This window comes from Homo sapiens, chromosome 15, assembly GCF_000001405.40.
Source record: "Homo sapiens chromosome 15, GRCh38.p14 Primary Assembly".
Classification (NCBI taxonomy): domain Eukaryota; kingdom Metazoa; phylum Chordata; class Mammalia; order Primates; family Hominidae; genus Homo; species Homo sapiens.
Window position 1 is genome coordinate 73,250,574 of NC_000015.10, and position 26,301 is coordinate 73,276,874.

The 26,301-nt window shown below is 39.4% G+C and overlaps 1 protein-coding gene across 29 annotated transcripts in view; it reads left to right on the top strand.

Annotated features, from left to right (window-relative positions):
- Positions 1-26,301, top strand: part of NEO1 (neogenin 1) — a 253,515-nt gene that overhangs the window by 198,882 nt on the left and 28,332 nt on the right. For 11 of the 29 annotated variants that reach the window (XM_047432591.1, XM_047432587.1, XM_047432595.1 and 8 more), the window contains exons 13-21: positions 2,827-2,876; positions 4,109-4,256; positions 8,193-8,303; positions 9,698-9,892; positions 15,743-15,838; positions 19,485-19,660; positions 19,743-19,881; positions 21,882-21,989; positions 23,238-23,432. In XM_047432591.1, coding sequence (XP_047288547.1) covers positions 2,827-2,876; positions 4,109-4,256; positions 8,193-8,303; positions 9,698-9,892; positions 15,743-15,838; positions 19,485-19,660; positions 19,743-19,881; positions 21,882-21,989; positions 23,238-23,432 — 1,218 coding nt within the window. Of the gene's footprint in view, positions 1-2,826; positions 2,877-4,108; positions 4,257-8,192; positions 8,304-9,697; positions 9,893-15,742; positions 15,839-19,436; positions 19,661-19,742; positions 19,882-21,881; positions 21,990-23,237; positions 23,433-24,118; positions 24,152-26,301 lie in introns of all 29 variants that reach the window. The other 18 variants (XM_011521628.3, XM_011521633.4, XM_047432586.1 and 15 more) reach the window with 3 other exon arrangements.

The following is a 26,301-nucleotide window of genomic DNA, read 5'->3' on the forward strand; positions in this document are numbered from 1 at the left end:
AGTACCAAAAATATTTAACTTGAATCTGATCATGATGAAACAATCAGACAAATCCAAATTGAGGGAAGCTCTGCAAAAAAAATTTTTATTTTAACTGACTTGGATTCTTAAAATATATTAGTTTTGTGAAAGAAAAAAAAGGTTGAGGAATCATTCTAGAATCTAGATTAAAGAAGAGTAAAGACACATGAAATAAAATATGTATGATCTTTGGATCCTGCATCTGGAGATAAAAAAACAGCCATAAAGGACACTATTGGTATAATTACTTAATATTAGATACATATGGTATTAGGCAATAGTAAATATTAGATATGTTATTAGCTATATTAGATAATATTTTTGTGTTAAAATTTCTGAATGTGATTGTTGTATTGTGTACTTTGTTGGAGAATGTCCTTGTTCATAGGAGATACATGGCGATATACACTGAAGAATTTTGGAGTGAAGTATGATGACTGCAGTCATCTCTCAGATGATTCAGAAACAATATGTAGATAGATAAATCTGTATACATATACATAATAGTAAGATAAATAAAACAGTTGTTGCAGAATATTAGTAATTGTGAATTTGAAAAGAACAGCCATTCATTGTACTATTCTTGCCACTGTTTTCCATGGGCTTGACAGTTTTCAGGATTAAAAAGTTGGGAGGCTTGGTGCAGTGGCTCATGCCTGTAATCCCAGCACTTTGGGAGGCCAAGTCGGGCAACTTACTTGAGCCCAAGAGTTCAAGACCAGCCTGGACAACATGACAAAACGCCATCTCTACTTAAAAAATAATAATAATAGCTGGGCATTAGTGGCACACACCTTTAATCCTAGTACTCAGGAGGCTGAGGTGGGAGGGTCACCTGAGCCCGGGGAGGTCAAGGCTTCAGTGAGCTGTGATTACACCACTGCACTCCAGCCTGGATGACAGAGTGAGAAGCTGTCTCAAAAAAAAAAAAAAAAAAAAGTTGGGAAAAAGAAACAAATAAATTACAGGCGGTTATACCTTAGCTAGTGAACTACATAAGCCAGTTAGGCAAGATACTGGGGAAAAGTTAAGGGAAAAAAATGTTTACTGTAGGCTGTTAAATCTACACACGAGCCAAATTTTAACTGCATTAAGTGTGTTGGCATGTTGACTACAGTACCTGTGGGAACTGAACACATCTCAGCATGGTGGCTAGGGGCAGCACTTTGGAATAACGCAAATCTTGGTTCCGATGCCAGGTGAAACAAATATCTTGGACAAGTTAACTTCCCTGAACCTCTTCTATAGTTTTCTGATCTACAAAATAGGAATGAGAATAGAAACTCCGTCCTGAGATTATTATAAGGAATAAGTGTCTGCCATGTAATGACCATGCAGCAAATCTTTGCTATGATGTTGATAATGAAGACAATGATGACAGATATGTTGGATACCTCTGCAACCTCAGTCACTTCTTAACATGGAGATGACTGGAATCATTAATGTAATTTTTTCAAAACACATGTGCCTGGGTCCTACTCCAGACTACCTGAATCTCTGAGTTTAGGCTTGAGGCACTTTGCTAGGCACAAGTTACAGAAAGGAGCAAGACACATTCTCTTGTCTTCCAGAAGCTATAGCACAGTGGGCACTTAGTTGTATACCTGGTCACCAAATGTTAGAGACAGAAAAAGAGAAGTTTCCACGGGTGGATTAGGAGAGAAGGGCTAAAGTCAGCAATTTGTAAGTGCAGAGAAAACAAATCCGGTTTACTTTGCTTGCTCTCACCAATATGAAGGGAGATACTAGAGAATGTGTGGGCCACACACTGAGATAACTCTGGATTATGTTCTAAAGTGAGGAACTAAAGTTACGTGGCTGTTTAACCAACAGTCCCAAACTTCTCACATCTAAATGAGTATTTTCTGGTATCTGGTTGCCTCAGGAAACCAGATGGTTCACTTTACCAGTTGTCATTGCTTAAATATCTTTGCTGTACTTGGGAACTGCCTTCAAAACCAGCTTAGAAACTCCACAAGAAAGCCAGGCTTACTGATGTATGTACATCTCATTTTGATCCATCATGTCATTACCCAGTTCAGTCACTTGCCATATTCCTTAGACCTGGTTCCAGAAAAACCTATGGTTGTCTGCCAAGATAAAGATAGACCAGGGCCAGGCACGGTGGCTCATGCCTGTAATCCCAGCACTTTGAGAGGCCGAGGCAGATGGATCACCTGAGGTCAGGAGTTCAAGACCAGCCTGGCCAACATGGTGAAACCCCGTCTCTACTAAAAATACAAAAATTAGCCGGGCGTGGTAGCAGGCTTCTGTAATCCTGGCTACTCAGGAGGCTGAGGCAGGAGAATCGCTTGAACCCAGGAGGCAGAGGTTGCTGTGAGCCGACATCACGCCATTGTGCTCCAGCCTGGGCAACAAGGGTGAAACTTAGTCTCAAAACAAAACAAAACAAAACAAAAAGATAAACCATCACCAATAATACTCAAAAGAATACATTTAAGGTTCTGAGTACATATGGGGTCTAGAAAAGTTGAGAGTCTTTAGAAGAGTTCAGAGCTACTGTACATCCTTGAAATAAATATCTGACTTCCCAAAGGTACAGCCTGGCTTGGGTGTAGGTGCTTTCCCATATGAAAGTGTCTTATGTTAAAAATTGAACCAGGCATGGCTATATGTCATCCACATAGTATTGTCAACATGAGGGCATTGGCAGCTAGTTTAGATCTGGTCACGTAATCAGTGTTTGAGATGTGCATTTGTTTAAAGTCCAGCCAAGATGATCACATGATGGGTGATGTATGGGTGATTAAAAAAAAAATTTTTTTTTTTTTTTTGTTTCTCTAGTTCCCAGTGCTGCTCCTCAGAATCTGTCCTTGGAAGTGAGAAATTCAAAGGTAAAACTGTATGATGCTGCTGTTCATTTTTACTGGTATACTGTTGCGCCTCAGAGGGGCTTATAGAAAGGGAGATTCTGTAGGAAAGCATCAAAATAAATGAATGGCGATGTGGTAATAATCTGCATTTAAAAATACCAAACCTATAAATTAGAACGTAAGTGAAAAAAATCACAAGCAAAGAAGTAAAAAGACATAGATATTACACTTGCATTAAAGCTGGGCTTAAAAACCCACTCATTTATTCTCCTTAATTTTGCTTCCTTCCTCTGACACCAAAACTGCTTTAACATTTCTGCAATTAAATTGCTCTTTTTCTGTAAAACATTACATTCTAGATGTTAACTGTTCAGAACCTTAGTGGTACGGCAGAAGGAAATAAGTTGTTTATAACATGGTTCCTTAGTGCTGTGAGATGAGCCATGTGAATCAAAGGCAGACCTCTGTCAGATTGGTTGTATCTCCTCAAACTGTCCTTCCTATAGCCAAGTTTGCTGTGTTCTTAGGGGCCATGTTTGCCTCTCAGAGGCCCAGAGCCCTTCTGGACTACGCAGACAACTAAGATAATCAGTCCTTTCAGGAAGTACTGTAGAGAGCCAAATGCAGTGGCTCACGCCTGTAGTCCCAGCTGCTCGGAGGCTGAGGTGAGAGGATCACTTAAGCCCGGGAGTTGAAGGTTGCAGTGAGCCATGATTATGCTACTACACTATAGCCTGGGTGACAGAGTGAGACCCCGACTCTAAAAAAACAAGAAAGTACTATAGGGCTCCTTTTTTTTTTTAAGAGGCAACCAGCTGTTAATTAGTTGTCCCCTTTTTAAAGAGTTTTATATGGAAATTGTCTAATTTCAGCTCTTCTGCACTGGACACGGGAAAGAATCTTTATACCTAATAATAGTTAGTTCCCTAATCCATGTGCTTCTGGCCTTCTTATACTTTCCTTCTGAAAACTTTTCTGAGACTTTTATCCAACATCATCTTTCTGGCAAAACAACCAGGAGATCAGGGGTCCAGAGTGTACTACTCGAATATATAATCTTCCCATTTGATCATTGAGGGTTTTAGAATTTAAAGGTATTTTTGAGTGATTATTAAATAACTTTGTAAAACTCTGAGTACCTTGCTGCCTCTATGTTTTTTCTCTTTAAACAGTAAAATCAGGATAAAAATATTTAAAACAGGACCAAGCTTTTGATATATTCAGCCTTTTTTCTATAATTCTGTCTTGTGCAGAGTATTATGATTCACTGGCAGCCACCTGCTCCAGCCACACAAAATGGGCAGATTACTGGCTACAAGATTCGCTACCGAAAGGCCTCCCGAAAGAGTGATGTCACTGAGACCTTGGTAAGCGGGACACAGCTGTCTCAGCTGATTGAAGGTAAGCTACCGTGCACAAAGGCAAAAGGTACACTGTGTCTTTCTCAGATATTGAATTATGCTAGTCTAATGACTGCTCTGAACTGTCGACTTATACAAACAAATTTAAAATGGTTCAGAAAATTTTTAATGGTTCAATCCACTTCTGACTTGATAGAGATTAATGGAAAACACTCTTAAAGGTTCTGCTATTTCTGAGTGGTGAGATCGAGTTTGATTTTTCCTTTCTTGTGTTTTCTGCATTCTCCATGTTTTCATTTTTGAGTGTATTTATTGCTTTTTTGTAATCTTAAAAATGATTAAAGAAAGTTATATAAGCATAGAAATTACCCCACTCAGTATAGTTGGTAACTGAGGTCTACAAAGTGGTTTTTGTAACACCGACCACCACTCGTGTGTACGTGGCCTGAAACAGTATTTGTGAATAGCTGCATCATTGCAATAATCATACATGCGACTATGGACACGATAAAGTTTTAGAAAATACTATCAGGCAAAGCTCCTTCTATATAGTTTTCCCTTCATATGCAACAGAATAAGTGGCATACCTGGTAAAAATGGATCCACATGTGTATCTAATATGGTTTCACCCTGGAGATCACAGAGAATCCTCCCGTCTTCCTCAAGGAGGGGAAGTAGAGTTGGCTAAGCAAGGGGAAGGTTCTTTTGCAGGAGAAACATGGGAACCAGATTGAGTGCTTTCACCCTGTGAATGTTGAGATCATGCCTACGAAGAATTGAGACAGATGCCCCAAGCTGTCCTTGTTCCATTGGGTTTTCATAGATGCTTAATATGGCTGCAGAATCGACTGTAGTCTGAGCAGACCCCATCCTGCCGACTCCTTTATTAGTTTAGCAGTGCCAAGACTCTGTCCTGCTCAGTTATACATGCCTCAGCTTCAGCACCATCACCCTACCTCTGTCCTAGGAGTAAACTCACATGGGCTGGGCCTGTTGGAGTATTGCCTCAGCTGCATCGGCTTAGTTTTGTCACTCAATAGAGCCCATCTGTTTTGCAAGCAAACAGATGAATTTGAGACTAGTACATTTACAACCAAAAGGTGTGAGTTATCTGTAGCTGTAACAGTATAGTCACAGGGCATGTTTAATCTCGGGACAAAAGCTCTGACTCGGGTAATTTTTTTGCTAGGAAACTCCAAAGCGTGTTGGTAGATAAGAACTATAAGAATGTGAGATATTGTCATTATTTTCTAAGCCCAAGAATTAATTTCATCACCCTTTGGAAACTTTAACTTTCTTTATATTTTATCTCTCCTGGGTAGACATTGAAAGGATTACAGAAGCTTGGCATCACCCACTTTCCTGTGACCCCAGGGACAGGGTTCTTGAGAGAACCAAGATCTGGGGTCAAAAAGTGTCACGTTTTCCAGCCAGGTGCAGTGGCTGATGCCTATAATCCCAGCACTTTGGGAGGCTGAGGCAGTTGGATCACCTGAGGTCAGGAGTTCAAGACCAGCCTGGCCAACATGGTGAAACCCCGTCTCTACTAAAAATACAAAAATTAGCTGGGTGTGGTGGCACCCACCTATGATCCCAGCTACTTGAGAGGCTGTGGCATGAGAATCTCTTGAACCGGGGAGGCAGAGGCCGCAGTGAACTGAGATCATGCCACTGCACTCCAGCCTGGACAACAGAGTAAGACTCTGTCTCAAAAAAAGTATAATGTTTTTACTTGTTTATGGGTATAAGTTTCTAAAAATTGAGAGAGCCATTGATAGTGAAAAACTGTGCTCTAGTAATCAGCAAGCTTCTCACTCCTCACCTCACAAATGGGATTGACTTCCTTCAGAATAGGAGAAGGTGAATGTTTGTCTCCAGGGGCATGTCTTTCAGTCTTCCAGCTTCTTCACAAGAACCCCACATCTCTTAGCTGCAGTCCATATCATGACTGCAGTAGATGGTGCTGAGAAATATCACTAAGGGAGCATTGGCCACAGATGTTCTCAAAGTCATTTTCAGCTGAGCGTGGTGGCTCACGCCTGTAATCCCAGCACTTTGAGAGGCTGAGACAGGCGGATTCCTTGAGCCCAAGAGTTTGAGACCAGCCTGAGCAACATGGTCAAACTGTGTCTCTACAAAAAATACAAAAACTTTAATGGATAAGCAGAGGCTGAAAAAAAAAAAGTATAAAAATTAGCCAGGTGTGGTGGTGCTCACCTGTGGTCCCAGCTACTTGGGAGGCTGAGGTGGGAGGATCATTTGAACCCAGGAAGTGGAGGTTGAAGTGAGCCGTGATTGTGCCACTGCACTCTAGCCTGGGCAACAGAGAGAGACTCTGTCTCCAAAAAAAAAAAAAAAAAAAAAGTTTCATATTTTACTCTACATTCAGATAAATAACATTTGCCATTTGTAAGGCTTTTCATTTTGAATATTTAGTTGTATTTATTATATACTAGGCATCATTCTTGTTGCTGTTAAAAAAAAAAAAAAAGAGTATAGTCCTTGCCCATGAGGAGATTATTCATTTTCTCAATGAAACATTTGATGTGTAAGCAAAATAGAATTTTTATGGTAAAAATGGCTTTATATTAAGAAAATTCTTACATTTTAAAATCATATCTGGATTTATTCATTTAATAGATTTCATTGAACTTTTGTTGGCATGTTCTGGCACTGAGTATACAACGTTGAACAAAAATGGAGATGCTTGCACTCTTAAAGCATTAACTTGAAGCCTGATAAGTATTAGGGAGCAGTATGGATCACCAAGATCCTTTACCAACAACACATTATATGATTAAATTTGAAGCAGAAGTAATTATTGTTATAGCACTAAACAGATCTTGCCATATCTTTATGATATGTATTGTATACCTTAGTTGTAGTCTATAAACTCTATAGGGTACTTAGAGGGAGAGGAACTCAGCCTCTTTGCATAGTACCTCATTTTTGCTTGCTCTCTCTTACATCCCAGTGGTCCCCAAAGGACAGGGAATGATTGGTTGGATTCTTTCAAGATCTTCATTGAGTAGTGTTTGCTAGTAATCCAGATTATCGTCTGTCAACAAACACTCTAGTACTTTCTGGTTCATTGTGTGGGGAGACAAGGAGATAAATTGACTTGGGCCCAGGCATTTTGCTCCTGCCTTTTGTCTTGCTCCTTGCTTTGTGGGGCACACAGATGTCAGGATGGGCCTACCAACTCTTCTCCCCTACCACGGGACAGGATTAGCTAACCAAACCAGGGCTTTTCTCATGTCCTGGCCAAGTTATGTTCTCAGTACTGTTGCCCTGGTTTGTAGAATAGACTTTTCTATGTGCATGTTTGTTGCGTTTGATACATTGGTAAGTCATGTACTTTATTAGCTGGTAGTAAATTAAAAGTTGCATAACAGAAAGGTTTGGGTCATTTTCCACTTTTACTTACTATATAATATATGAGCAATTGGTTGTTAAGGAATAGATTTTGAGACCGTATTTGGTGCTTAAAATTTTTCTGCCATGATTATGAGGTGGCTCAGAGAACAGAGGTAACTCAATAGGAGTTACATCTTTGCATTCTTTCCTAGGTTTTAGTGCCTTCTAAGACCAGATACCTTTGTTCCTTTTTTATAACTCTTTCATTGTTCTTGGCCTCTTTTGGCCTTAGCTTTCTTTGTAACACAATAAAGGGATTGCATTAAATGATCTCTGAGGTGCCTTCAAGCTCTTAAACAAAAGTCTGTAATCTCCTGGGAGCTTCAGTCATTTCTGTTTTCCTCTTAGATTGTGTGGGCTTCAGTCTTTGCTTTATTTGGAGATGGAAGCTACTCTATGTTGTATTTGCATTTTGCCTACACTGTATTAACTTAAACTGAAACTTTGCCAAGCTATATACTGAGTTGGTGACTGAGATGTTTGCCTTAATGAGGGATTATTAATCTTTTGTTTTTCCAAAGCTCTTGTTTCAGTTGTCTTCTTTGTCATTTGGTCTCAGGTCTTGATCGGGGGACTGAGTATAATTTCCGAGTGGCTGCTCTAACAATCAATGGTACAGGCCCGGCAACTGACTGGCTGTCTGCTGAAACTTTTGAAAGTGACCTAGATGGTAAGAATAACAATTGGCAAGACTGGAACACAATAGATACTAGCTGTAGTCAAATGAGTCAAACTGGAAAGCCACAGACTTGGGGTGGATATGGCTCAAGTCTGTGAACTTTAGTGCATCACGCTGCTGTTGTTCCTGTATTGCATCGAGGCTGCTGGAATGGATTTTTTGCAGTGCCTTGTAGAGAACTGTCCTTTCAAGCAGAACTAGAGCAAATAAAAATGTGTATGTGCTATAAGTTGGATTTTTTTTTTAATCAAGGCCATTAAGTAGATGGATGATCTAAAATTTAAGGCTGAGCCACATAAATCATGCCTTTATTTCAACTGCAGTTTCCCTTTTCTTTTAGTCCTGGACACCTTGCCCTTTTTCTCACATGTTTATTCAGTGAGTACTCCCAAATGGGTGTGTATAGGTAGCACCTTTATCAGTGATAGGTGCTGGACTTGGGAGGCAAAAGACCTGAGTTCTTGTTCTGAGTCTCATTTTACTAATTTTTTTTTTTTTTTGAAAAGGGATCTCACACTGTCACCCAGTCTGGAGTGCAGTCATGGTTCACTGCAGCCTCGACCTCCCATGCTTAAGCACGATCCTCCCACCTCAGCCTCCTGAGCAGCTGGGACCACGGGTGTGTGCCAACACACTTAGCTATTTTTTTTTAGAGACAGGGTCTCACTATGTTGCCCAAGCTGGTCTTGAACTCCTGGGCTCAGGTGATTCTTTCTCCTTGGCCTTGCAAAGTGCTGGGACAACAGACATGAGCCACCATACCTGGCCTCAGTTTACTAATTTTTAAATTAAGGTAGTAACTTATGCCCTGAAAACAGTGTATGTGAAAGAGCATGTAAATTTCCTCCTTTGTAAGCCTCTTAGTCTCTCACCAATTGAATCAACTGTGGCTCCAAACTTTCATGTTTTCTGACTTACCATACTACTTAGGGGAGTAAATAATTGGTGCTATTGCTATAATGTGATGCTTAAACACCTGTTAACAACAGGCTTCCCACTACTCAGTTTATGCCTTTCTCATTCCACCTGGTAGAGTTTGGGAATGGATGTGGGACCAAGAGAGATGGTAACTATTGAAAGGCAATTTATTTTTCTCCATTGGGGCAGAAGAGGTTCTTGTATCTCTTTGTTTTCTCTTCCAAATTAATATTGCAGTGTCTTGTATTTAAAGCTGTTCAGGTCTTTTTTTTTTTTTTTTCTTAGAATGCAGTAAAATCATGGGCTGTATTTCACTATACATACAGATTCTTTTTGAACTCTTGGGCATAATGTAAAAAACTTAGCCCCAAACAGTGTGGTAGGAAGCTAAACACCATTCCCCAAGGATGGTGAGATATTTTAAAGGACAGTATATCTCATCTTGCTTTTCCACTTTTCCTTCCCAGAAACTCGTGTTCCTGAAGTGCCTAGCTCTCTTCACGTACGCCCGCTCGTTACTAGCATCGTAGTGAGCTGGACTCCTCCAGAGAATCAGAACATTGTGGTCAGAGGTTACGCCATTGGTTATGGCATTGGCAGCCCTCATGCCCAGACCATCAAAGTGGACTATAAACAGCGCTATTACACCATTGAAAATCTGGGTATGTTTGCTAAGTAGAGAAAGTTAATTGTGTGGGAGATTCCTTTCTTTTTAACCTTTTATGTAATATTTTTATTTTTACAAGAAAATTGCGAAAATAGTACAAGTAATTTCTGCATGTTATTCACCTGAATTCCCCAAATGTTAACATTTAACCACATTTACAGCTATATTTTGCAGAATGCCCCTCAATTTAGACTTGGCTTAATATTTCTTCATTACATTCAGGTTTTGCATTTTTGGAAGGAATAGGGTAGAAGTGTTGGGTTTCTGTCAGTGCATCATATCAGGAGGCACATTACAGCCTATATTGATAATGATGTTAACTTTAATCAGTTGGCTAAAACGGTATCTGCCACATTTTCCTGCTATAAAATTGTTATTTTTTTCCTTGGTAATTAAAAGTATCTTGTGGATGAGATACTTTGAGTCTTTATAAACATCTTGTTTCCCATTACACTTTCACTCCCTAGTTTCAGCATCTGTAGTAACAGTTATTAGAATGGTGTTTCCCCAGTGGTGATTTTCTAATTCCATATTTCCTCTACACGTGTTAACATCCTGTGATAAGGAAGAACTTTCTTTCACCCCTATGAAGAGAATGGCCAATGGGAATCTCTTTATAACTGGTTCCTGTGTCCATTTGACATCTTCCATCTTTCTTTGAGCACTTTCTTCCTTTTTGACAACATAGTAAGATGTTCCTGGCTCATCTAGTATTTCACTAGCCTCGGCCCTGGAACCAGCCATTTCTCTAAGGAACCCTGATTTATTTTATGAAAAATGATTTTGGAAACCAATATCTGGGCACTATATCTATTCATTGTAACTAGGGTAGAAAATCCTAAGGAATCTACAAAAGGGCCACAAGATACAAAGTGAATATACAAAAACAGTAAAATGATTTTGGAAACCAATATCTGGTCACTATATCTGTTCGTTGTAACTGGGGTAGAAAATCCTAAGGAATCTACAAAAAGGTCACTAAAACTATAAGTGAATTTAGCAAGGCCACAAGATACAAAGTGAATATACAAAAACAGTTGTATCTCCATATACTAATAATAAGCAGTTGGAAATTGGAATTAAAATAACAATACCACGTAGAATAGCATCAAAAAATATGAAGTACATAGGAGCAGACTTATAAAATGTGTGTAATATCTGTGCACTGAAAATAGAAAATTGTTACTGAGAGAAATTAAAGAATACTTAAGATACCATGTTCACTGGTTGGAAGCCGTGATATTACTAAGGTGACAATTCTCCCCAGTGCAGTCCAAGAAAAGTCACAATAGGCTTTTTTGTAGAAATTGATAAGCTGATTCTAATAATTTTTATGAAAAATCAAAGGAACTAGAATAGACAATTTTTTTAAAGAATAAAATTAGAAGACCCATACTAGCTGATTTCATGTCTTCTTATAATTGAGACATAGTGGTGGTATTGTAAAGGAAGATGTTATACATCAATGGAACAGAATAGAGTCCAGAAATAGATCCATATGTATATAGTCAGTTGGTTTTTAGAAAAGCTGCTTAGATAATTTAGTGGGGAGAAGACAGTCTTTTTAACAAAAGTTGTGGGAATACCTGGATATCCATATGAGAAAGAAAAGGAACTTTAACCCTTGTCTTACGCTATATGCAAAAACAGACCTAAATGCAAATGACCCAATGACTTTGGGACAACAATTCTAGAAGAAAGTGTAGGAAAAAATCTTTATGACTTTGGGATAGGCAAGGACCTCTTAGGTTGTAAAACAGCACAAATCATAAAATTTAAAAATTGATAAATTGGATTTCATCAAAATTTTAAAACTTCTACTTTTAGAAACATACCAATAAAATGAAAAGGCAAGCCACAGACTTGGAGAAAATACCCACCATTTAAATATCTGACAAAGAATTTGAGTCCAAAATATATAAAAACTCTTACAACTCAATAATAAGAAGGTAACCCAATAAAAAGTGGGCAGGAGATTTGAACAGACACTATACCAAAGAAAATATATGAGTGGACAATAACCATATGAAAAGATGCTCGGCAACATTAATCATCAGAAAATGCAAATTAAACCCACAATGAAATGCTATTGCACACCCGCTAGAATTGCTAAATGTTAGTAGACTGGCAATAACAAATATCAACAAGGATACAGAACTGGAATGCTCATACTAGCTGGTAGGAATGTTTGACAGTACAACCACTTTGGAAAACAGTTTAGAGGTTTCTTGTAAAGTTATAACCCAGTAATCCCACACGTAGATAATTAAAAGAAATAAAAATACATGTCTGTGTAAAAGCTTATATACAATGTTCATAGTAACTTTATGAACAAGGGGAAATAACAAATTTTCATCAACAGGTAAGTGGTAAATCGTGATATATCCATGGAGTACTACTCAGCAATTAATAGGCTATCAAGACACAACAGAAATTAATCTCATAAACATGCTGACCAAAGACGTCAAACACTGTTATATTTTGTGAATTACAAAATAGGCAGAATTTATCTATAGTGACAAAGCAAGATCAGTGGTTGCCTGGAACCAGGGGTGTTAGGAATCAACTACAAGGGCACCAGGGAGCTTCTCGGAGTATTGGAAATGTTCTATATCTTGATTTTGGTGGTTATGATGCAAGGTATATATATTTGTCAAAACTGTAAATGTACAGTTAAATGGATACATTTTATTATATGCTAATTATACCTCATAGTTGACTTTTTTTTTTTTTTTTTTTTTGAGACAGCATCTCACTCTGTTGCCCAGGCTGGAGGGCAGTGGCGCGATCTCAGCTCACTGCAACCTCCACCTCCTGGGTTCAAATGATTCTCCTGCCTCAACCTCCTGAGTAGCTGGGATTACAGGCTTGCGCCACCATGCCCAGCTAATTTTTGTATTTTTGGTAGAGATGGGGTTTCACCATGTTGCCCCAGGCTGGTCTCAAACTCCTGACCTCAGATGATCTACCCACCTCAGCCTTCCAAAGTGCTGGGATTACAGGCGTGAGCCACTGCACCCGGCCTCATTGTTGATTTTAAAAGCAAAAGAATTTGAGAAATATTTATATTTTATAATAAATAATTTATTTTGTTAGGTATAATTACTTTTCCAAATTGGATTATCGTTATAGATCTTTTTTGAAACACTTGTTTCTAAAATTAAAATCTGCCCTGACCAAATTTTCATTCAGATCGTTTCTTTGTAAACATCTTTTCTAAGAACAACTTCAAGTGCCTAACAGAAGAGTTATATTCATCCTTTCTGTTAAAAAATAAGCTGGGATTTAAATATTCAAAAAAAAAGTAACCTTTAGCTTTTTCCTTACAAGGAAGAAACAGTACAGTTAACCTAGGAAATGTATCCCCCACGTGAACATCTTTTAAGACAATTGTTAGCAAAAGGAAAGCTTTGCTGGTAGAATAAAAATGTCTGGCCAGGCACAGTGGCTCACACCTCTAATCCCAGCACTTTGGGAGGCTAAGGCAGGAGGATCGCTTGAGCCCAGACGTTCAAGACCAACTTGGGCAACATATTGCGACCTCATCTCTACAAAAAATTTAAAAAATTAGCTAGGCATGGTGGTGTGTGCTTCTAGTCCCAGCTACTCGGGAGGCTGAGATAGGAGGATCGCTTGATCCCTAGAGGTCAAGGCTGCAGTGAGTCCTGATTATACCACTGTACTCCAGCTGGGTGACAGAGCAAGACTTTGTCTGAAAAGAAAAAAAAAAAATGTCCCTGTAGTGACCAGCTTCATACTGTTTCCTTTATGCAACTACTGATGTGAAACTCCTTTGCAGTATTGACAGGACATGGTCCTTGATCTTCAGGTGCTTTCAGTCTAACAGAACAAAAAGAAAACACAAGAAACAGTGAAGTGAGTTGAAGTGAATTTTGTTCAGAGAAGGGAGAACGCTATAGCAAGACACAGTAGAGCAGTCAGGGAAGAAACCCCTGAGCTTGAAAGATAGAATCAAAATAGCGTTTGAAATAGAGAGATGAGAGGAGTGCTGCATGTGCAGAAGAGAGTAAGCAGATAGAATTTATTAGAAAATGGAGTGCACATTGCAGAGTAGCAAAAAAATTAATGCAGCATAAAGTAAAATAAGCTTGAGCTATAATTATTGACCTAGATAGATCTAAGATGCCTATGATGTTGAGTAAAAGAAGCAAGTGAGAGGTGGAGAAATGCAGTTAGCAATTCATCTATTCATCATCCTGGAACTCTCCCCTGACCTTCAGATCCATATAAACATCTGCCTACTGGGTATCAGCACCTGGATATATCTCATATTCCATCTGGCCCAAAATTAAAGTTAATGCCTTCTCCCTCAAACCTGTTGATCAATCAGCAAATATTTAATAAACACTTACAATGTCCCAGACACTGTGCTAGAGATAGAGCAGAGAATGAGACAGACGTTCTCACAATTATTAGAAATAATACAATTCAAAAATAATTGAAATTGTTCACGGTGCTGAGGGAGAGAAATGGGCTGTGTAACTAGAGAGGCTAGTCCAGTGTGGAATGAGCCCTTTGAGATGAATAGGCGCTTACCTAGGTAAACAGGAAGAGTGGGATGTGACCCCAGCATAGGGAGCAGCTGCAAGCGAGAAGGCCCTGTGTTGGAGAGAACACAGTGCTCAGTGAACTGATAAGTGGCCGGTAATGATGGAGCACAGAGAACTAGGCAAAGAGTGGTGGGAGAAGACAAGTAGTAGATTCAACAAAACTTGATTGTTTGTCTGGAGGGGATGAGGGAAAAGGAGGTCTTAATAACTCCCAGGTTTCTGGCTTGAGCAGCAGGGTTGGTGGTAGTGTCGTTTACTAAACCAGGGGACACTGGAGCCGATCTGAAGCTGGAGGCAGGGTGGGAAGGGAAAGATTTGAGACACCCAAGAGGAAATGCCAAACAGACAATTGAACATAAAGGTCTGGTGCTCATAAGAAAGATCCAGACTAGAGATCTGTATTTGTAATTGATGACACATACATGCTAATCAAAGCTAAGGAAATGAATGAAAGTGCATAGGGTGAGAGCGAAGAGTGGGAATAGAAGAGGACCTAGAATCAAGCCTTGCACATGTGTATTATGGTTGCTCTTGCCCCTTTTCCCAATCTCAGTGAATGACACTGCTATCTACTGTGTTGCCCAAAGCACTTTTTCCTTGCCAGTCACGAAGTAAGTCTTACTGATTCCATTTGTTGTTAGTTCTGACACAGGAAGACCAGGTGCCTCTATTTGTTGCCCTCTAGTGGCAATCTAGGGAGTGGGTGGGCCGCCAAGAAAAGCAGCTGTTTTAAGCTTTTGAGCCACATGAGGCATGGCTCATGAGGCATGATGGCTAGGTGAGGTTTGGCCATTTCTGGATTTGGAGGCCACTTGGAGAGTCAAGGACATTGAGCACTTAACTGACTTAACAGTTTATCTCCTTCTTCTCTACCTTGTCTGTTCCCATCGCTGTCCTTCCAGGAATGAAAGGGGTTTGTTTAATTCCAAGCTCCATCTATAGACTTCAGCACATTAAATCTTATCTCTTCATTCTCAGCCAAGCCCTACACCATACCCTGAACATCACTAAACCATAGGAGAGACCAAGAGAGAATTCAAACACAGCCCACCTCCTCTACTGAGACTAAATCCGGGAAGTTGGTCCCAGCCAGTTTTTCTGTACTGTGTGTACTTCCATCTCCATATCTCCCTACAACCTGAAATAATCCCCCATAAAAATTTTTAAAGTTGTCTTTCTTGAATTCTTCTGTGGTTAAGATTATGCACAGCCACCCTTGAATTTTTAAAATTCTGTAGTGAGCATTTTTTTAATGTGTGTTTCTTTTTTTTCAGATCCCAGCTCTCACTATGTGATTACCCTGAAAGCATTTAATAACGTGGGTGAAGGCATCCCCCTGTATGAGAGTGCTGTGACCAGGCCTCACACAGGTAAGGTATCCTATCTTTCCTAGTCTCCAGCACTTTTCCTAGCAGCTTAGGCAGAATATTGGCATGAGGCCTATCCCATAGGTGTTAGGGAAGAAAAAGCATATGGCAGTTTCGGGTGCTGACTTCAAATGGGAAAGTGGGCTTTCAGCATGGAAAGTTCTGTTAATTTGTTTTGCTTTTTTTTTTGGAAGATTCTAATTCTGCCACGTAAGCCATTCTGTGTAGATATATACACGTTTTTAATCTGTTAGGATGTGGAAAGCAGAGTTTTTAGATAATTAAAAGTGATTTTCCGTCTTTTGGGCATGTGAGTTGAAACTAAAGTGAGTCAAAAACAAAAAATGTAGGTTACTGACGGTGGCAATAAATGCATGCGATTCGTGAACCCAACATCATTTGGTTACTAGCCACCTGAGTTGGTTAGGAAAGTGTTTTTCTATGTGCCTTTTGTAAGCTTGAGTATAAGGTCAGAGGTACTATCCATTTGATCAGTTATACATTTATTACAAACGAGACCAAATATTCATTGTTTTTCTTTGAATTATCTACTTAAAATATCTCTAAAGGCCGGGTGCAGTGGTTCATGCCTGTAATCCCAGCAGTTTGGGAGGCCAAGGCAGGCAGACCCCGAGGTCAGGAGATCGAGACCATCCTGGCTAACACAGTGAAACCCTATCTCTACTAAAAATACAAAAAATTAGCCAGGCGTGGTGCTGGGCGCCTGTAGTCCCAGCAACTCGGAAGGCTGAGGAAGGAGAATGGCATGAACTCAGGAAGCAGAGCTTGCAATGAGCCAAGATCGTGCCACTGCACTCCAGGCTAGGCGACAGAGAGAGATTGTCTCAAAAAACAAAACAAACAAAAATCTCTAAAATAAAGTAATATACATGTCATGTAAATTTTTCTATAGATATATAAGACATCTAATTTAGATCTGAAAGAGAAAGTTTATTGAATATGTTAGAGTTATAAATTTTTTTTCTTTTTTTTATTATACTTTAAGTTTTAGGGTACATGTGCACAACATGCAGGTTTGTTACATATGTATACATGTGCCATGTTGGTGTGCTGCACCCATTAACTCTTCATTTAACATTAGGTATATCTCCTAATGCTATCCCTCCCCCTCCCCCCACCCCACAACAGGCCCTGGTGTGTGATGTTCCCCTTCCTGTGTCCATGTGTTCTCATTGTTCAGCTCCCACCTATGAGTGAGAACATGCGGTGTTTGGTTTTTTGTCCTTGCGATAGTTTGCTGAGAATGATGGTTTCCAGCTTCATCCATGTCCCTACAAAGGACATGAACTCATCATTTTTTATGGCTGCATAGCATTCCATGGTGTATATGTGCCACATTTTCTTAATCCAGTCTATCATTATTGGACATTTGGGTTGGTTCCAAGTCTTTGCTTAGAGTTATAAATTTTTTAAAAGGGCACTGGAAACCAAAGAATTTATTTTCGGAAATGTTCTTTTTCATTTATTTCCAAAAATTTTGATTCTTTATTGTCCAGTGATATCTGCTGGATATGTTGCATAATTGTGCAGATTTGGTAACATTCTTAAGGAAGGCTTACCTTTCCTGAAGGAAGAGTACATCCTTGAGTTCCTTTTGCTTTATTTGGGTGTGAGCTATGTCACTCTACTGCCATTAGACCCAGAACATCAGGGGGCCTAATATTCTCTGTCCTTTTTTTTAAGCTTCTATTTAAGACTACTACATGTTTGGTAGTTCTGTTCTGTCTTCTATATGCTTACAGTTTATAATTTCTTTTAGAAATAGCTTTAGTATTACAAAAAGGAGCAAAAATTAAGTGAAAAAGTATTTAAATAAGTGGTCTGCTACTTTCTAAAATCAGGCTATAATAGTAAAAAACAAATTTGACATTACTTCCTTTTATGTGGCTTAAAAATATAGCCTACTAGCTAGAAATACACAAGAAAATGTTCCTAAGTCATGTAATCTAGATATGTTTTCTAAGGGTTGCTACATATAAGAAAAAAAATTTCTACAAGAATTCTAATGACTTCTACACCTGAAGGTGCATTTTCTGTAACTAATTGGTATGTGTCCTGCCAAACTTTGAACAAAGCTCTTGGTTATATAATGTATGCTACTCCTCTGTTATTTTTAGTCCTCATTGCACAGGAAATACACAAATGGAGACTATTACTTTAGCTTAGCAATTATTCATAAACAAGGTCCATGCCATTCCACATTTTGAGTAATAAGGGCTAGTCACCATGACTATGTGAGAAACCCATTGTAAACTGTGAACTTAAATCAGTATGTGTAAACTTAGAAAACCTAAGCATGAATTGGGAAAGCCCGTATGGATTCTGCTGTATTGCCCTGGGCCCATGGTGCATGGTGCTTTTGTGCTCATTCTGGCCTCAGAGAAGGTGTCTGTTGTATATGGCACAGGACAGCTCCATGAGTATAGACTTTCCATCAAATAAGTACTGTACAGTACTCTGATTTCTAAAGTTTGTGAAGTTTGTTACTTGGAACTGTGATAACCATGGCATTTCCGTTAACTGATGGGAATTCATCACTGGGTTGTTCTCTGACTCTGTGGAAGAAACTATGGTAGATAGTCCAGCATGGTGTCAGCTTACCTTTCCTGAAGGAAGAGTACACCCTTGAGTTCCTTTTGCTTTATTTGGGTGTCAGCTATGTCACTGTACTGCCATTAGACCCAGGACATCAGGAGGTCTGAACTTGACCCTTTGTGGGTATCAGATACCGTCAATACCCATGGCTGACATTCAAGACTCAGGTTTGAGTGTTGGACCCTTACATGAATAGTGATATGCACAGATAACTCTTGTCCCAAAAATTCAGCCACATTCACTGAAATCTCAAACCATGAGGTTTGTATTGCTTGTTTAGAAATTGTACCCCTGATTCTAAAAGCAGTTTTTGTCTTCGTGAGCCTTTTTGGTTTTGGGGTTTTTTTGTTTTCTGAGACAGAGTCTTGCTCTGTCACCCAGGCTGGAGTACAGTGGTGCAATCTCAGCTCACCGCAGCCTCCATCTCCCAGATTCAAGCGATTCTCATGCCTCAGCCTCCCGAGTAGCTGGGACCCCAGGCACCTGCCACCATGCCCAGCTAATTTTTGTATTTTTAGTAGAGACAGGTTTCACCATATTGGCTAGGCTGGTCTTGAACTCCTGACCTCAGGTGATCTGCCCGCCTCTGCCTCCCATAGTGCTGGGATTACAGGCATGAGCCACTGCACCTGGCCTCATGAGGCTTTTTGAACAGGAAGTAGAATTTTCAAGTTATTTTAAGAAAATTCAAGCACGAATACATTAATATAATCACTGGATTATAACATTTTAATATGCCTATAGAATGCAGTAGAGAATATAGTTTATTACTGCTTCTCTTAACATTTTTCTGTAATTTTTTCCTGAAAGAACACAAGTGGAAATAGTCTTTTAAATGAATGGTGGTTATCTATTAACTCTGAATTTTCTTTCTTTTTCTCCATTTCTCACCTTTCATTCCATTATATTACCCTGCATTTCCCTTTTATTTTATTTTTGTTTACATTAAAATGCCACTTCCCTTTTTAAATTATTTTCTGCTCAGACACTTCTGAAGTTGATTTATTTGTTATTAATGCTCCATACACTCCAGTGCCAGATCCCACTCCCATGATGCCACCAGTGGGAGTTCAGGCTTCCATTCTGAGTCATGACACCATCAGGATTACGTGGGCAGACAACTCGCTGCCCAAGCACCAGAAGATTACAGACTCCCGATACTACACCGTCCGATGGAAAACCAACATCCCAGCAAACACCAAGTACAAGGTACTGACACATTTGCCCTGGCTGAAAAAAGCTAATCATTGATACTTTCTAATTTTAAAGTCTCAATTCATGTTTTTTTCAGAATGCAAATGCAACCACTTTGAGTTATTTGGTGACTGGTTTAAAGCCGAATACACTCTATGAATTCTCTGTGATGGTGACCAAAGGTCGAAGATCAAGTACATGGAGTATGACAGCCCATGGGACCACCTTTGAATTAGGTATGTGTTGTCAGAAGCCATGTCACATGGCTGCTTTTACTTCCCAAGGAAAGAATTGAGTGCCTGAATTGACATATTTACAAAACACAGTGAGCAACTACATTTGGAATTCAGTGTTTGCTATTTCAGCTGACAAGTTGTGTGTTTTTAATTACTGAACAAGAACATTAGCAAATAACAGGATACTACAGGGAAAACATGATAAATTACAAAGCACTGGGTAGATGTAAGGGATTATTGCCATTAATCCTGCTTTACTGGTAAACTGAGATAGAAAAGATGAAGTGACCTGCCCTTGACCAGGCAGTTCCAATGCCATGCTTGCTTGGAGCCTGAACACTTTGCTGGGTGACCCCAAAGCTGCCTCTGCAGTTTGCTTGCAAGCAAATTAGCGTCTTATAAAATCTTCCACTGAAATAATCCTTAAGGTCTTTGTAAGTGGACACGAGAGGGAAAAGATGACTAAGCAAATTAAAGAGAGAACAGGCTATCTGGGTTTGAGATTCTGTTTGGTTTTTGCTGACTTTTAGACATGCCTTTCTGCTACCCCCTGGGCTTTCCTAGTCTAGGGATATGCATAACCATTTCAAATCTCTGTCTATTTTGGCCTCCTATTTCTCTCCTATATGAATAATGGAGTTATAAATTCTCCACAAACTGGGCTTGGCCTCAGTGTCTTTTTGTCTTCTGCACAGTTCACTGGACTTTGTACAGAGAGAAGGGTTGGATTTGAAGAGTTAGAAATACAGTACATCAAAGTTTAAATAGACCTTGAGTTTGCTTTCTTTGCCAACCATTTTAAGAAAATGTTTTTACTTCAATCCTAACCCATTAGATAACAAATGAGATTGTGTTTTCCCTTAGGATATTTGCATTTCACCAGGCTTCCTTACATTTTATACTAAGAGAATTCTAGTATTTTAGGAAGAGTTGAGTAAATTTAAGGATGTACTTAATTTGCTCATTTTCCTACTAGTGTGTTAAAAGTTTTCAGCTATCACATGGAAACACAGGAAACGTATTGTCCTGTTGCATAAACGAACAGCTTCACTTTAGAGCTGTAACCTCAATAGTTGGCAGTATGTTTGCAGAATAAACTCATAGTGAAAAATATTAATCTGTAAATCATCTATTCTTTGAAGAAATAGGGCTTTTAAAAGTTATATTTGGGGCTGGGAGTGGTGGCTTGCACCTGTAATCCCAGTGCTTTGGGAGGCCATGGTGGGCGGATCACCTGAGGCCAAGAGTTCGAGACCAGCCTGGCCAACATGGCGAAACCCCATCTCTACTAAAAATACAAAAATTAGCTGGATGTGGTGGTGCGCACCTGTAATCCCAGCTACTCGGTAGGCTAAGGCACGAGAATCACTTGAACCCAGGAGGCAGAGGTTGCAATGAGCAGAGATTGTGCCACTGCACTCCAGCCTGGGTGACAGAGCTAGACTCCATCTCAAAAAAAAAAAAAAAAAAACAGCTATATTTGGTTTGGAGAGCCAACTATAAATGAGAGAGAAAACTGTTTTACAATTTACAGTATTCTAACAAAATAATCCAGTGTGACAGGGAAGAAGTCATCTTGGACGAATTACATAACTTCTCTAATTTTTTGGTGTCCTGATCCATAAAGCAGAGATAGTGATAACTACCTTTCAAATTTTCTACAAATACTAAGTGAGATACTATGTGTACGTTACCTGGTATACGGTAGGTACTTGGTACAAATGCCACTTGACTTTCCTACCTAATTATCCTGTTTATCCCTGACTCCCAGCCAAGATGCCAATTCTGTATCTTCATAGTATGGTATTTCCTCTTTGGTACTCTGAATATTCTTCTTTTGATTGGAACTTTTGATAGACAAACTGTGATTTCTTTGAAGCCAGAAGCTTTATCTTTTTTGCCTTGTGCCCTTTATTTTGCCTTACAAGTGGAAAAGGTTGAAGAAATAGTGAACTAATTTGAAATGGACAGAAATTATTAAAAATTTTGTTATTTTGTAGTTCCGACTTCTCCACCCAAGGATGTGACTGTTGTGAGTAAAGAGGGGAAACCTAAGACCATAATTGTGAATTGGCAGCCTCCCTCCGAAGCCAATGGCAAAATTACAGGTAAAATGCAATCAAGTGTGCATTTCTTTGTGCGCTCTTCCTGCCTGACAGGAGTATTCCAGGAGAGTACCATGTTGCTGGGAGAAGTGGGAGTCTGAAGGCTGGCTTGGTCATTTTATGGTAAGGTGTGAGTCATGATGGTCCTTGAAATTGGGGTGAGGCTGTGCTGGTCGCCCATAGCGGCATAAAATGGGTTGCCTGTTGGTGGTTCTGACTGCAGTCGGGGATGGGAGGCACTAGACAGCCTTTGGCTATAGTGGGACTTTGTAGACATTTATTTTCCTTAGGAAAGCTGCTCTTCTCTGTCTCCGCCTAGATGGACAGCTTCAGAATTATATACCCCCTCCCTGGTTCTGTAGAGTAATACCCAATAAACAGAGATTCTGCTCTTGTACCCTGAAGCCACAAAAAAAAAAAAAAAAAAAGCCCATTAGATATTTAATTCCTTTTCACTGCCCCCCGAGACCTGCTACTTCAAGTACCTGTGCTCTTATAATTAGAGTTAAAAGTGAACTTGCCTAGGTCTTTGTAGGGACCTGGAATTTTTTCCTTGTACTTTCAGAGGAAAACCTTCCACAGTAGAGGGGACACTCTGCCTTCCTCAGCCTTATCAGGGATGGAAGCCTGATGGGGTTCAGCTGCTCTTACTTCCTTTGGCGCCTCTGGCCCATGTAGGTGTGTGCTGAGGAACTGGGGTTTGCCCTGAAGTTCCTCTGTATGAATAGGTGGCCTAAGGAAATGGAAAGTGTTTCTTAGCACTGTCCTGCTTCTTGCTTTCAGTAGGAATCTCTTTCTGTACATCCTGGTCTTTATGTCATTTTTTTAGGTTTTGACTTTGCCTCTTTTGTGAAAGAATGAATCATGACTTGACTTGGATTACATTTTACTTTGTCTTTTAAAACCGGCAACAGCGCAGTGCCCTTTTGCTGTGGGTCAGATAGATTCATGGTTGTGATGCTTCCCTTCTCAATGTGGGGATTAAGTGCCCCCTGGTGGAAGTATCAGGTGACAGTTCACTGTGGCTCTGCCCAGGAGTTCCTAGGAGATCACATCGGTAAGAGCTAAAACAGCCTGTCAGGCAATTCCTGGTTTTCAAAACTGAATTATTTTAATTGTAGACCCTTGAGGGTACATTATTCAAATATTATGCTATAATATTCATATGATATAATAGGTACTTATTGATTTACTGAAGGCAAAAGGAAAAGCAGGAGTGAGATTTCTTTTCCCATTAATTCCTTTGGACAGGTTACATCATATATTACAGTACAGATGTGAATGCAGAGATACATGACTGGGTTATTGAGCCTGTTGTGGGAAACAGACTGACTCACCAGATACAAGAGTTAACTCTTGACACACCATACTACTTCAAAATCCAGGCACGGAACTCAAAGGGCATGGGACCCATGTCTGAAGCTGTCCAATTCAGAACACCTAAAGGTAATGCTCCCCAAGCTGAGGGTTTTGTTGTGTGTCTCTTTAGTGGGGCTATGCTGACACTATCACTTGAGCATATAGAGTCTGTGGATAGTATATGAAGTCTTAATGATGAGCTTGTGAGCCATGATGTGAAGATTTATCCCAGAATGATTCCTCACCTACTCATTGACCAAATCAGTGCTCCCTGGGTTACCAGCCTAAACATATCATATAAAAGAGGACACTGGTTCCAGGCTATTTGGGGCAGATCAATTGCAGTGATCTAAAAGTTTTTACTGGTCAGATCAGATATGATTCTTTTGGTTCCCATATAGAGAAAGAGTAGTGTGTTCTTGTGATGGATAGTTCAACTCAGGCAGGCTATTAACCTGAAAGACTTATTTGTGGACGTTACAGAGAAAAAGAGACTAAAAAGAGCCTTTTAAATAAAACCCTAGATAAGAAAATGAAGATAAAGCACTGAACCAAGTAAGCCTAGCCTAATAAAATTTAACTGGGGACTGAATCTAAGGAATTATGGAAGCCCTGTATGAATTTAATTTCTGTTAGTACTAAAGTCAAGTTTCAGTTTGTTTGGAAGTTTGTGGGGGTTTTAGTTTTTTTCCTTTAAAAAGTTCTGCCTGTCCCATCTTCAAAGCTTGTGATCCTTGCTCTTGTTTTTTCTTCCCCTGTGCTTGGCCTGTTAGCGGACTCCTCTGATAAAATGCCTAATGATCAAGGTAAATGAGTAGATGGCCTCTCTTTTCTTTCCTTTCTTTTGTGACCTATTATTAGCTTTTGGTTTTTGTTTCTTTTTTTTTTTTTTTTCCTGAAAAATCAGCACCATGTGTTAAAAGCCACACAGTTATTGGCCAAAGTAGAGTTGAGTCCATGTTCTGAAAAGCTGGGGAATTTATGTAGAAGCTAACTAGGCTGGCAGAAGAAAACTGAACCAGTAAACTGGTCCTGCAGCTGTAGGAGATTCGTCTTAAGTGTGGATCAGATCATCCTTTGTGCTGAGATATTGAAGTTCTGTGACAACGATAAGCATTTAAGTCATGATTAGACCGATCATACCAATTGTTCATGTTTGCAGCAGTTGTTCATATTTGATCATACCAATTGTTTATATTTGTAGCATCTAGAATTTTATTAGTGTCTTTAAGTGGAAAGTTGTATCACATTCAGTGAATACCCTATTTTCCTCTTCCCACAAAGAATCCACAAATTTACCTTACTCAATGTTGTGATTCTGTGTGACTAAATTACTGCTTTGTTTATTCTGTTACCATAAACTTAATTCAGAGCTCTTTTTTCATTTCTCCCCTTAAATATATCTGATCATATTAAAAGAGGATCAAAACTATTTGAAATAAAAACTTAGGCCACGTACGGTGGCTCAGGCCTGTAATCCCAGCACTTTGGGAGGCCAAGGTGGGAGGATCACTTGAGCCCAAGAGTTCAAGACTAGCCTGGGCAACAAAGTGAGACCCCCTCTCTACAAAAAATAGGAAAAAAAAGTTAGCTGGGCATGGTGGTGCGCACCTATAATCCCAGCTACTCCGGAGGCTGAGGTGGGAGGATGGTTTGAGCCTGGGAGGTGGAGGCTGCAGTGAGTCGTGATCACACCACTGCACTCCTGCCTAGGTGACAGAGTGAGACCCTGTCTCAAAAAAAAAGTAAATAAATAATAATAATAGTGATAATTGAAATGGGGACCTAGCAAACAGGGGCCTCCATGTCACCATTCTTGAAACCATCTGTCAATAGTCTTTACACTGTAACTGCCATGGTGGAGGGATAGCTATATTTTGTGATTTTTATCTCTAGGAAGTCAGCTAATGCTAGTATGTTTTCCATACTGAGAATGAACATTAAAAGTAAATTTAATTATTGCTCTCTTGGTTTAAGAGTAGTTGTTAGAATTGCAAGTTATTTGGATCTTGGCTAATGGCAAGGAAGAGTCAGAACTTGAGGTATCAAGTTTTCCAGAACACTTTGGAAATGTGTTTGCATTCAGTGAGTCTTTTGCACTACATTGGAGAAACTGCAAACATACTTTCTGTTGTGTGAAAGTGCAGGAATATAAAAATACCCATAATATATATATGCACAGAATATAAATGGGCTCATTGTTTTCTCACTTGATTCCATAGCCAGAGTGCAATTCTTAGCTGCCTGACACCTCTGGTATTTAAAATTCTTTACTCATTGATATTTTTGGTGCTCAGTTCATCCTTGGAATTTCTTGTTCATAGTTTACATTCAAGAGAAACAATGTTGGGAAATACAGGAATATAAACCATCCAGTTTGTTAGCAATGTGTGTTCTTTGACAATTAGGTACATAATCCAATGCTCTGGATAGTTTGGCTTAAATGTAGCCTAGCTGTCAACTAAGTACACTTAAACCTGAAGAGCCTTGCAGGTGCTAAGCCATCTCCACCAGCTAGACTTTGTCATAGTGAAAAGCATATGAGGAACAACTGGACTCTTAATCTATGGTGTGTGTCACTTGGGAGAAATGATGGCATCAGAAGTAAGGAGATAAAGTAATATGTGTGGACAATGGAAAAAGGGCCAGGGACTGTGAGTAAATTCTAGAATATGCCCTTTTGGATATCCAGGAACTCCTGTTACCTTCTTTTGGTAGGTTTTCAGTTTCTGGAAGCATAGCATTGTTTTAGTCACTGGATTTATTCTGTTAGATGAACTGCATACACAAACTTCAGATTTTAATGTTTTCATTTCATTGAATATATGTATCTCCTGATAATTTATGGAAGTACTTGACATTAGCTCTAATGTTTTGCAGAAACACCTAGTTTATACATTTCTAGTAAGGCTTTATTTGTAGAAATAACTCTCATTTATAAGTGTTTTTTGAAGCT